Below are 13,239 nucleotides of genomic sequence, written 5' to 3' on the forward strand. Positions count from 1 at the left end.
AGATACCTCTGTGGGAAGAGGGGTTGTATTCAGCGACTCTGAGGGGCTGACGACATTCTAATTACTGTCCTGGTTGATAATTGCACACTAATTTGCTTTATGTTTATTTTTCATAATATGTAGGTGTTTTATTTACTATGATATAAGCATGAAACATTTTAACATAAAAAAGAGAAAAGAATCAGGTTATGAAAGCATAACTCTTAGAAACTAGCAACTCTGCCTGCATGGTTTAAAACAGAATCGCTAACTCAGAGTAACATAATCTCTCACAACTAGTCTTTGTCAATAAATGTATGAATACATAAAATAATTAATGAACAGCATGCTCTCAAATATGTATAACATGTTTATGAATTAAACCAGATGAAAAGATGTCCAAATGTTGTTTAATAATTTCTGCATGGAAAAATTATGGGTAACTTGATTTCTCTTCTGGGTATTTTTCTTTCTTTCCAAAGTTTCTCAAATAAATATATATTACTTTGAAAATTCAATGAAATACATAATAAAAATGTGTCATTAAAAGTCCAGAATACAGTCAGTTTATGTTCTAGCTATTTTTCTTTCTCTTAGGACATTAATCCAATTGTTTTTATCAACAAGAAAAACACTATGAATTATAAATCAGTGCTCTTAAACTTTGGTGTACATCCTAATAGCTGCAAGCCAGCCCAAGAGATCCTTCTAATATCCTAGGCTAAATTGGATCAAACAATTTAAACTGTAAGAAAATCAGCATTCTGAATATTTCCCCAAAAGATCTGTCCCAGCCACCTCCCCAGGCTAACTGTGCATCACCATCCTCTTTGCTCTTTGCTCTTTGCTCTCTGCTCTCCAGTCACAGCAATCTTATTTCAGCTCCAGTGAATTCTTTGTTTCATGTCTCAGTAGCTTGGCATAGGCTGCTGCTCTTGCCTGGATGTCTAGCCCTTCCTCTGTCTTCATTCAGATCTCAGCTCCAATGTCTCCTCCCTAGCAAAGTCTTCCCTGAAACTGTACCCTATCCATTTTACAGTTTATATACTCTTAACCTGAAATTTTATCTTCACAGCACTTTAATACCATTTGTAATTAACTATTTGTGTTATTATCTGATTAATGTTTTTCTCCTTCAACATACTGTAAGTGCCGCTAGGACATGAGTCATGTCTGTTTTGCTCACTTCTGTTTTGTTTTCTTTGACAGAGTCTCCCTCCATCGCTCAGGCTGGAGTGCAGTGGTACAATCTTGTCTCACTGCAACCTCTGCCTCCTGGGTTCAAGCCATTCTTCCACCTCAACCTCTGGAGAAGCTGGGATTAGAGGCACATGCCACCATGCCTGGCTAATTTTTTTATTTTTTAGTAGAGATGAGATTTCGCCATGTTGCCCAGGCTGGTCTTGAAATCCTGGCCTTAAGTGATCCACCGGCTTCCGCCTCCCTAAGTGCTGGGATTACAGGCATAGGCCACTGTGCCTGGCCTCGCCTTTTTTTTTTTTTTTTTTTTTAAGAGAAAGGGCCTGGCTCTGTCACTCAGGCTGGAGTGCAATGGCATGATCCTAGCTCACTGCAATCTTGAAAGCAGTCCTCCCGCCTCAGCCTCCCGAGTAGCTGGGACTACAGGCACAGGCCAGCGCACCTGGATAATTTTTTTTAATCATTTTTCTTAGAAATGGGCTCTCGCTTTGTTGTCCAGGCTGGTATCAAACTCCTGGCTTCAAGTGATCCTTTCATCTCCGCTTCCCAAAGTGCTGGGATTATAGGAGTAAGCCATTGTGCCCAGCCTGCTCACTTTCATATCTCCAGAATTTGACTTAAAGCCCAACACTTAACAGACACTCCCCATATATTTCACGGATAGTTGGTTGGATAAATGAATAAACTATCAAATGAATCAACAAACAAATGAAGATCTGTCCAGAAAAATTTATGGCTATGTCTCCCAGGCTTTGAACTAAAAATCATCTTTAAAATTTGGTTATTACCGTACTGTATACACATAATGAAACATCACACTGTACACCGTAAATAAGTACAATTATCACATATCAATTAAAAATAAAATAAAATTTAAAAAATTTTGTTTTTCTTTGAAAAAGATCCATTCAATCAAAAGTTCTCACTCAGACCAGTAATTAGCTTGTATTACAATGAAGATAACATATATTCAACCTTGGCTAATCAAACTAACTTTTTTAGGCTCCTTTTTTTCGTGGGTATAACTCACCTGTGTGTATCTTTTTCAAACAAAATAAAAATTCTTTTCCAAACCCCAAACCCAATGATGACTCATTCTCCAGAAATCTAGTTTGGATGTGATGGGTAAGGAAAGAAAAGACAAGAAAACATATTAGCCTCCTAAGATTAAGGACTATATTTTTCTGTTGGGAACTTGGAATCCTAAACTAAAATGTTTGCTCTCTGATCCCCAATATCAGAAGCTGCACCTAATGTAATTGCTTCCAAGGGGGAAACACTGCTCATTCTGACTGGCTGTCACAATACTCTGACTTAATCCCTTCCAAAATGCCCAGCTCAATATAATTGTAAGAATTCAGGGCAGAATCTTTCCATGGCAGTTTGAGCAGTAAACTTATTTGTTTGTATGTAAGGGACTGTTAGTTCTCAAAGCACAGAGGTTTTATTAAGAAGATGACAACAATTTCTGATTTTTAGATACCCATTTTTTCAAATCCAAATATTCTGGATTTCTACAGTGTTCCTACATCATGTTCAGAAAACGGAGTAATACAGTTATCCATTGGTGGCTCTTAAGAGCAGGATATTATTGTACTTGTATTTCGGTAGAGGTATTTATTTATTTGGTTCTTTCATCTTCTACATTTACTTGTTCCATAATGACCTATCTACCACTCTCTCCCTTAAATATTCTCTCTATGCACACCATCCTCCTTGCTATTTCTAATTCTCTATGGCATGCTTGAAAGCATTCATACCTATTGCTGCTTTGCCTGGAGCATCCTTTCCCTGAATACTCCACTGGCTGACTCTACTGGAAACTTTAGATCTTACCCAAAGGGCTATTTAAAAATTATATTCCCTCCTGAATACTTCCTATATGCTTTCTTCCTTCATATATTTTCCAGAGCATTTATATCATAAAACATCCCATTTTATGTATTTTTCTTATTACCTATTTTTCCACTTCTAGAATAAACATTCCATGAAAACAAAGATGTTTGTCTCTTTTCTGTACCTGCTATATTCTCAGGCCTTAATGTAGCTACTCAACAATCATTAAGTAAACAAGCAACTTTTCCATGAGAAATATCCAACTGAAATGACCAATTTACTATGCTCTGGGTCTAGCATATCCCAGAAAGGGGATACGTTTACCAGAGGAAACAGTAGCAGTGACACTAAACACAGAGCTACAGCTGTTGCCTGATCATCAATCAGTCTGTGCTCCTTACACTGATAGACCAGAGAGAGAGAGAAAAGGAGTTCAATGTTGATGGGGTAAATGTAAAGGTCCCTGATGACCATGAGGAAGAAGACAGCCGCTGTGCACTAGAGGCAGAGAGGAATATATTAGGTATACAGATGATCCACAGGGGCATCTTGTGGCATTCCTGTGCCCAGTTATAACTACCAATGTATAAGTACAGCAGCAAGAGAATGGTAACCCAGGGCTCAGAACTCTTAGTAAAACATTAGGAAAGCCTCCTACATGAGTAGAAGTGCTAGCAAAAAGAGAGGAAAATCTAGAATGGCTGGGGGTAGGGTGGACAGACCATGAGCACCAACTGCATTAGTGGGACTCTTACTATTCCTCTTCAAGTAAGTCTTCTTGGAAATTCTGACCAACCAAAATCCTGAATAAGCTTTGCCTGGATGGATTGACCTTCAGTGAGAAGCAGGTGGATCTGAGGGCTGTGAGGAGTAGACTGCAGTAGAACGTAGCTGCTGATACACTACCAAAATCTTTCAGGGCTGTGCACCTTTCCTCCACTTGCTGTGAATGTTCTGTGATCACAGTTCACAGGTGCCCCCTTCTTTAGAGACTTACCTTCTGCTAAAGATGAGCCACTTCCCCAGAGAGGCCACTCCTTGCCATGGGGAACAGGCCAGTAGCTAATGGCCAATGGACACAAGGGTAGACGAGGCCATCTATCTTGCCTCAAGGAGGGACCATCTCTGTGGAGCAATTCATGCCTCGGAGATTCCCCATAGGAGCAGACTGGGCGATTCTCCAGCTGAGACTCTATTTGTGCTTAGTTTTTATCTCCTGCTCTAGCCTGCTTCACTTGCTCTCATTCTCCTGAGAGCACTCTTTCAATAAATCACGTAAACAAGAATTCCTGACTTGGCTCCGCTTCCAAAAAACCCTGCCTAAGACTCATGTCATACGCAAATTGCCTCTGAAATAATACATTATAATGACAGGCCTTTAAAATTCTTACAAATACAATTCTGATGAACATCAGCTCACAAAATTTTTCTTAAAAGTCAGAAGCCCTAAAATAAATAAATTACCATGAGTGAAAGTCACCAGGAGGAAAACATAAAATTGCATAAAATAGGATCATCAGATAGAAATATATAGAAATATATGGTATATATTTCTATATATATATACCTATATATACCATATAGAAATATATGGTGTGTATATATATATTTCTATATATACACACCATATATTTCTATAACTATATATGTAGTAAGATATAAAAAGAGAAACCCAAAAACATGAGTGAAAACAAAAAGCTATCAAAAGCTTGCAGATTCCCAGCACTTTGGGAGGCCGAGGCGGGCGGATCACGAGGTCAGGAGATCGAGACCATCCTGGCTAACACGGTGAAACCCCGTCTCTACTAAAAATACAAAAAATTAGTCGGGCGTGGTGGTGGGCACCTGTAGTCCCAGCTATTCGGGAGACTGAGGCACGAGAATGGCGTGAACCCGGGAGGCGGAGCTTTCAGTGAGCTGAGATCACGCCACTGCACTCTAGCCTAGGCGACAGAGTGAGACTCCGTCTCAAAAAAAAAAAAAAAAAAAAAAGTACCACATAGATGGTTAAGAGATTAAATGAGTTGACATCTGTAATGCTCTTTAGTGCTGTTGAGTTTCTAATATTCATCTGTATTATTTTTATCTTGAATGCTCACCAAGGTGTTCTGGGTCAGAAACTGATATCTTACTAATTAATTCACAATAAATAGAAAGTGAACTGGCCTGCCTTGCCCTAAGCCTTAACCCTGATGAAAGCCAAGCCAAATGTCCCACATTGGTAGCCAAACATTCCATAGATGACTGACAGTGAACAATGGATTCTTTTCATTTATATATAGAAGAGAGACAACCATTCCCCTCCCCCTCCTGAAAGGAAAGAAAAATCTTTTGCTCCTTTGAAATGAGGTGGAAAGGATCCTAGGTTCTTACCTTAACCATTTAGAATGTAACTATATCCTTCCACAGGTCAGATACACCAAAGGGGTCTCCAAAGTCTGGGCTTTGTACCTAGGGAGATAGCAGCCCAGCCTTTCTTGGATGGTGAGCACACTAGTAATCATTTTATGAACATGCGCTACAACTTACATATACACAACCCTTATTATTTTATGTGTAAAATAGCTCAAAACAAAAAGGATATTTTGTACAGAAAATAAAAAGAAAAGAAAGAAAAAAGAACAAAAGGAAGAAAGATGGAGGAGGGGAGAAAACTTTCATAAAATCTTCATCCAAAATATTGGTGGCAGTGTGGAAAGGGAAAAGCAAAACCACAAAAAAACTCTATCTTCTGTAATGTACCAGCTCTGACCATTTGAGTTTTCTGACACGATGTGTAATTTATTATGTTCAAGGACTATTTTCTTGGCAAAAAGAAAAGATCTTAGTTTCAGAGTTAGCATAGAACATAACACTATTTAAATGTCTTAAAGTAGCTTTAACAATAGTATGCAATATACAGTGTGAGCAGTCTTTATGAGTGATTCTCTAAGAGACCCCATCATTTGGCTTTGGACAGGGGAAAGTATCTTTATCATGAACACTTGCTGTGCTAGGCTGAAGCCCACAATTTCTATGATCCCCCACTCCTCCAATTCTTCTTTCATAAGCTGGGAAGGGGCACTAAGGTGACCAACAGAATAATGAGGATGGGGAGTGTTTTCTTGTTAAGTCCACGGCAGGGCTTGGCCCTACTGGATTGCAGCTCTTTAAAAGATGAGTATTTAATACTACTTCGTTCTTTGGTCTTGTTGGTTGCTGCCAATTTGAGACCACAGGGAATGTCCTCCTCATCATCTTTTTAATTTTACACTGATAAAAATATTAAAGAGAATTTAAAGTCTGATTTGTGGATCAGTGTGCTGTATTAAAGAAAAGGAGAAGAAAAAATATATGAATATATATATTCACACACACGAAAACATACTGTGGGTAGAAAACAGGATAACGAAATATGAAGAAACTCTTCATAAAATTTTATTTTGCAAGATGTCCCTTTTTGATTTTAAATACAGGGGGAAGAGATTAGTCTTATAAGTGTCAGTCCCACACACCATGTCTTTTCTCTCCCTGGTGTTAATGTTCCATGTAATGCTAATTAAACGGACATGTGTAACTAATTTAAGTGTTACAGAATTCAAACCAGTCTTAATTCCCCCTTCTCCCAAAAATAGAATGAGAAACTTAGTTGTTAGTCTCTAGACTTTATAGTGGGCAGAGAACTAAATTATAAAATCATATTTTACAGAAAAATCTAAATTGATTTCTCAGGTTATGAATACTTAATTATAATAGGGACAGTTCAGAAATAGCCCCATGGAAAAAGTAGTTGTTCATTATATTGAGTCTTATGGCCAAGAAAGAGGGCAGAAAGAATGTAATTGTGAGTTGTCAAGCTTAACACATATGTATAGAGCAAATATTCTCACTCTGTTCAGTGGCAGAATTGAGCCTGCTGAATACTGGGCAGTGTCCAAGTGGTGGTCAAAGTGGTCCTCTGACATAAAGAATCATGACCCACAAAAAACATTGAAAGAAAATTTACATATAGACATATTATTGAGATACATATCATTACAGACACTTTCTTTACCAGGATAAGTGCAATCTGAAACTTATCTTTATTATATACCAACTCAATTTTTATTTTATTTTATTTTTTTATTTTTTTTTCCTTTAAAAGCCAGGGTAAATTTTATTTTATTTTATTATACTTTAAGTTTTAGGGTACATGTGCACAACGTGCAGGTTTGTTACGTATGTATACATGTGTCATGTTGGTGTGCTTCACTCATTAACTCATCATTTAGCATTAGGTAAAAATTGAAGGAAAGGTAGAGTTCTATTTCCATATTCTTTGAACACTATTTACAGAAATGGCATTAGTCCTGAAAATATCATCTTTCTCTATCAAAGCCATCTTAAAGATAACACTGCATTATTACTTAAAGAAAACTGCCAGGGGGAGAATCTATACCTAGTAAAATTTAACAGACCAGTGGAGGCAAAACATAACAGTCTGTGTTAAGGGTAGTCATCATCCACATTTAGTTGAAAAAAAAAACAGAAAAGCTTACCTTTATGATGGTTTGCACTGGATACAACTTTCCCCCACAAGGTTACAATAAATATTATTATTAGCAGTTTTCCTTTTGTTGCTTTCTGTAAGTATCTCTTACTCATCCTGCAAATAAAAAAATAATAAAAATCATAAGTATGCAAATTCATAGCTTTTCCCTTATGATTGTGCTACATGTAAAGCCTTCCACTATACTTTAACCCCTTCAACTTCTGAAAACTGTATTTCTTGTATTTAAAATGCTGTTCACTGTATACAAACGATGATCAGAGAAAATAAAGGTTTTCCAAAGTACCTTGATATGATGCAAGAAATAAGCAAAGCCCTGCCTCAGTCTTCATCCACTTAACCACAGCCTAAATCAGTTTGGAAATATTATCATATTTCTCTCCATATAAACATAGATTTAGTTTATTAACAAAACCCAAGGCATGGTCATTTGGATAATCTTTAAATAAATGCCTTATTATTTTACTTTTTTCCTAACAATTGCCAAGTCAAATGGACAGTGTAACAGTTTATATAGAATTGCTTAGATGAATTCCTGCACAGAATATGGTCACTTCAAATCTATTATTCCTAATGTGCTTTTTAAAAATCACCTGGTTATATACATTTCTTACTGCAAAGTAACCTGATCCTCCTAATGTGCACAACTCCACTACAGGTGACACAATATTGTTGGACTCCACCTTGATGTAAGTTCCCAGAGGTAGGAGAAAAATGAAAAAGCAGAATGAAAAATACCAAATCAACATTTTCATATTGAACTCATAAAACTAGAAAAAGCAAAAAATGTTATAACAAAATAATAGCTACCTATAATAAAAGTTCAGAACTTACTTTCTCCAGCACTTTCTACAGCATTCTTTCATTTGTTCTGAAGAACAAATTTGGCCTGTAGGTATATCCATCCCCATTTTGTAGATGAGGAAATTTGGATATTTGCCTGGGCCACATTTAATGACAGAGTAAAAATACAAACCCAGAATTGTCTAATTCTAAAATTCTTGCATTAATCACTGGGGGATAAGCAAAACTGATATGAAATCAAGTCCATCTCCATTTATTTATGAGGGCGATTAAATATATGTCTGTCACCCTGTGACTTTCCGATTCAGATCCTATACTGAACTCCACTGTGCTTGACCTGAAGATTCTTGCCTGCCCTGCTTTTAAAGCAATTTCCTGGGGTCACTTCCTGATGTAGCCTGATTCCTTTTCCTCTTGTATTTTCTAGGTTACCCTTTTTTGTACATTTTTACCTCCAAAACATTCTATCTCCAAAAATGTGACTCAAAGGTAGAACAGGTGGCTATACAATTTCAAAGAGGAGTCCTTGACATTTTTTCATGTATGACTAAATGCATGAAAAAATAAATTATATATTATGTATTTTAATACAGATATATGTTAACATTTCTTAGCTTGAGGAGGTTATAGGGATTACTTCAAATGTTTAGATGGCAATATTTTAAGAATAAAAACATGAACTTCTAAGTCAGAATGCCGGGGTTTGAGTCCAAACTTTAATGGCTTCTAATTATTTGGCCTTTACCTGACTTTACTTTTTTTGGGTCTCCTGCTTCAGTTTCCTCTGCAAATTTCTGGATCTCCTGCTGCACTGTCTTCTACTGTAGCATAGGATAATGTATGTGAAATTCCTGGCCCACTGACAAACATGTACTAAGGATTCAATGGCTATGATATTAGAGAATAGTGAGTCATTTGTATATGTTTGATCCTTAAGTGTTTGGGAGGCTTGTCCATTCGTGAGATGATTGAAGGGAGTTTCAGTAGCACCAACAGCTGTAAACTCTCTGTGGACCTTAGCCTCATGACATGTCAAAGATAACATACAAGAAGATAGGTATTTGAGCTTTTAGATCAGACTGTTGGGGTTTAAAACCAGGCTTCCTGCTGACTATGTGACTTTGAACAAATTACTTAATAATTCAGATTATTTTCATTGTCAGTAAGACGAAGATAATAATATGTACCTAACAGTGTTGTTGGTATGAAGATTAAATGAAATAGTCTGTGTAAAAGGTTTAACACTATGCATAGCAAATAATAAATGCTCAATAAACGCTAGCCATTACTGTAATCATTACTCAGTCAGACTAGCATTTTCCTAAATTCACTCTGTGAGGCACCAGTTCCACAGACTGTTATTAAAGTATTCGTGAAAAATAAAGGGGGGATATATATTTGTAACATTGTGAGTTCAACCAATTTAACTAGATTTTTTTAACAAGAGGCATATTGCCAAATATGCCTTTTAGAAACATTTTCCAAGAACCTCCTCCACAGTGTAACAGAGCACACTAGTGTCCTCAGGAAGCCTCTTAGAGAAATATTGAGCTATAACAATAACCTGGTTTGGAACTTATTCTCAGTAAACCAAATGTCATTTTAAATCTTCCGTTCTATTGCCTTTGTTTCCTCTCTCAGCACTCCTACTATTTGTTTTAAGAATCTTCTCTTTTTTTCTACATTTTTTCAACCATCCTGACTCCCCTCTGCATCTAATCCCTGCAACATTATTGTACTGCATATCATATAACAGAATGAACAGCAAAACTCATCTGACAGGAAGAGCTGCTTAGCATAATTCTTGATAATAGCTTCTCCTTAGCACATGGCCTCTGCTACAAGGGCAATGACCCATCATTTTTCCATACCATTGTACACCCACCCAATGGGATGACAGAACTGACAGATGGTCAAACTGATAACTAGACATATGGAAACAGAAGCACCCACAAAGTTGCCAGGCTGTCAAAGTAAAGAAAGAAAGGAGAATGCAGGTCAACATTTGGAAGGCTGTAAGGACTGGTATTTTCTTCTTTTCGTAACATCGTCACTCCTGTCCAGTTAATTACCATGTTCCGTCAATACTACCTCCAGAATATCTCTCAAATGTATATTTGTATACCTATTACTACTGCAACACTGCAATACAGACCACCAAACTTTCTCACTGGCCACAGCATCCTAACTGGACATCTGCCACCAAATTGCCCTCCTATGTCTGTCTTTTTCACAACTATATTTGCAGTATTTAGTAAGTGCCTGATAAATTTTGTTGACTAAATGTAATGCATTCTCTATGCTATGGCCAAATATGTCTTTATGAGCATGAAACATACTTGGTTAAAACCTTAACATGATTCCCTTCTCTGTTCAGAACAGAAGGCCATCATTCTTAGTAGGGTATGAAAATCCTTCAGCAGAATATTTTTTTAAGCTTTGATCCTTTCTTTATGTCTCTAATCTCATTTTATGTCATTTTGTCCCATCTTTTTCTCCACACACACTCACAGTCTATTTTTAACCCTAGAAAATTTCTCCAATGACTTCCAGCTAAATCTTACCCACCATGCCACCTGAAATATGTTAGCTATTCCCTCCATTCCCACCTACTCTTCAAAATGGGTAACTTCTACTCACTAGTAGAAGGGCAGGTTAGAATTCCTCCTATAGGATTTGCCCAAGACCGTGTTGAGTGCCCTTCATTCTGCACAACAGCCACTTGCCATACCATATTATAATCCACCTACTTATATTCAACCATTATTCTCATATAAGATTCCTAAAGACAGCAACTGTGCCCCATACATTTGTGAATCTGTAGGATTCATCCAAAGTCCAGCTTAATAGCTGGTAAATAAGTACTTATTGAATGTTGGTGGTGCCTTACAGACAAATATATTGCATAGTGGTTAACATGAGAGGAAGGAAGTGTGTGTCATCTCTCTAGATGACAAACAGGAAGTGAAAAAGAGTCGGGGGGGCATGCAACAAGACAGAGCAAACTGAGAAGGAAAAGAGAAAAATGAAATCCAATCTTCAATGTGTTTTATTCTGATTTTTAAATAACAATCAAGTTTGAACAAAGTGAAACATAATAGAGTGATCAAGGATTTTTGACAAAGGGGCAATACCAGAGAAAAACACCTAAAGGAAAAAAAGCTGAATGTACATTTCTTCTTTACCTTGCAGGACAGCACAAAAGGAGGGACATTGCCTTCTTTCTCTATTTGCTAACCACCAGGTCTCAGTATAAAATTTCCCAGCACAGAAATACTGAATGTGGTCCTGGCTCCAACACAAAAAGAAAAAAGAACTGCCACATTCATTTGTGAAAACGGCAAAATTTAAGTGAATTTTGCAAAAAGCAAAAACAGTGAAAAGAAACTGGAAACTAAAGGAAAATACACATAGAGGAGGAAACCTTGAAATCGCTCCCAGGCAGCAGCAGCTTGCAAGGAGCACAAGGGAAAAGAGGAAACTGAGAAATGGTAACCCTGGCAGTGAAGGATGTTGAAGTGAAAAGTTGTCGAAGTGGAGGACTGACGATTAAATCTCCTGGACTTTCTCCCACTCTTCTCTTCTGTTACATATTTCACTTATGTACACGGAACTTTAGACTTTTGGATTATTTGAAACGCTTCTCATCCCACTAATGTTAAAAGTACATTTAATTGGCCAGATGCGGTTGTTCATGCCTGTAATCCCAGCACTTTGGGAGGCCGAGGTGGGTGGATCACAAGGTCAGGAGATCGAGACCATCCTGGCTAACACAGTGAAACCCTGTCTCTACTAAAAATACCAAAAATTAGCCAGGCGTGGTGGCGGGCGCCTGTAGTCCTAGCTACTCGGGAGGCTGAGGCAGGAGAATGGCACGAACCCGGGAGGTAGAGCTTGCAGTGAGCTCATACTGCGCCACCGCACTCCATTTAATTGTTAAAAGCAAGAAATAAAAAACTGTTATGCTATGAGAAAAATCATTTCCCCATGAAAACAGAAAGTAAGTTTAACTGGTCTATAAACAAAAACCTGGAAGGAAAAAGGGGGGGAATAAAGGAGATAGTATAAAGGAGATGTATAAAAAAGATAAAAGTGGAGGCTTAGAATCCAACCACCTGACCTCCCCTTGAGCCTAAGACACTTCTGTGGAAATAGAGATCACATAAGGGAATATTTTTTTAAGTCTTTTTAGGAAAATTCTTTACATTGATCTAAATACCGGACAAACTTGGTGTTAACTAGTTACAATGGCATGGACCTTAACAGACAAATCTCGAAAAAAATTCGCCCTTAGGGTAGAATGCGCGGTGGATTAGTCACGTGCCCCTTCTCCTCATAGGAACCAGAATGATCATTATAAAATGTAAATCAAATCACATTGCCCCACTGGCCTTATACCTTGCTTAAAATCCCGGAATTTACCTATTCATTGAAATTAGAATAAAATATAAATCTCTTACTGGAGAAAAAAACCAACATCATCTTCCCTCTCAACCACTCTGACTTCATTTCACATCCCTGTACCCCAGGTTCCCTACGCTTCAAGCACACTGGCTCTCCCACTATCCCCTCTGCCAAGCTAAATCTAGACCTTACCCTAAACGTTAATTCTGCCATGAAGGTTCTCCCACCTGTCTTTGTGTAGTGGTCTGCTTTTCATAATCACCTTCACAGAGATTATTATGACCATCCTGCCCTCCAGAGTCCAGAGAGACCCACCCTGCAGTTTCTCTCTCTCTCTCTCTCTCCAAATAGCCTGTAGCATTTTCTCTATTTATTCTAATCTAAAATTATTCTATTCACTATTTTATACATTTGTATAAGTGTCTATTTTCTCCTTCTTCCCATTAAAATGTAATTTCCATGAGAGCAGAGATCCTGCCTGTAAGTCA

At 37.6% G+C, this 13,239-nt stretch overlaps 1 protein-coding gene across 6 annotated transcripts in view; it reads right to left on the reverse strand.

The window, feature by feature from the left end:
• TAFA2 (TAFA chemokine like family member 2) overlaps positions 1 to 13,239 on the reverse strand; it is a 551,762-nt gene that overhangs the window by 151,515 nt on the left and 387,008 nt on the right. For all 6 annotated transcript variants that reach the window (XM_024448962.2, XM_047428774.1, XM_047428773.1 and 3 more), the window contains one exon: positions 7,533 to 7,639. In XM_024448962.2, coding sequence (XP_024304730.1) covers positions 7,533 to 7,639 — 107 coding nt within the window. The remainder of the gene's footprint in view (positions 1 to 7,532; positions 7,640 to 13,239) is intronic.

The sequence above is a fragment of the Homo sapiens genome, chromosome 12 (genome assembly GCF_000001405.40).
Source record: "Homo sapiens chromosome 12, GRCh38.p14 Primary Assembly".
NCBI classification, from domain to species: domain Eukaryota; kingdom Metazoa; phylum Chordata; class Mammalia; order Primates; family Hominidae; genus Homo; species Homo sapiens.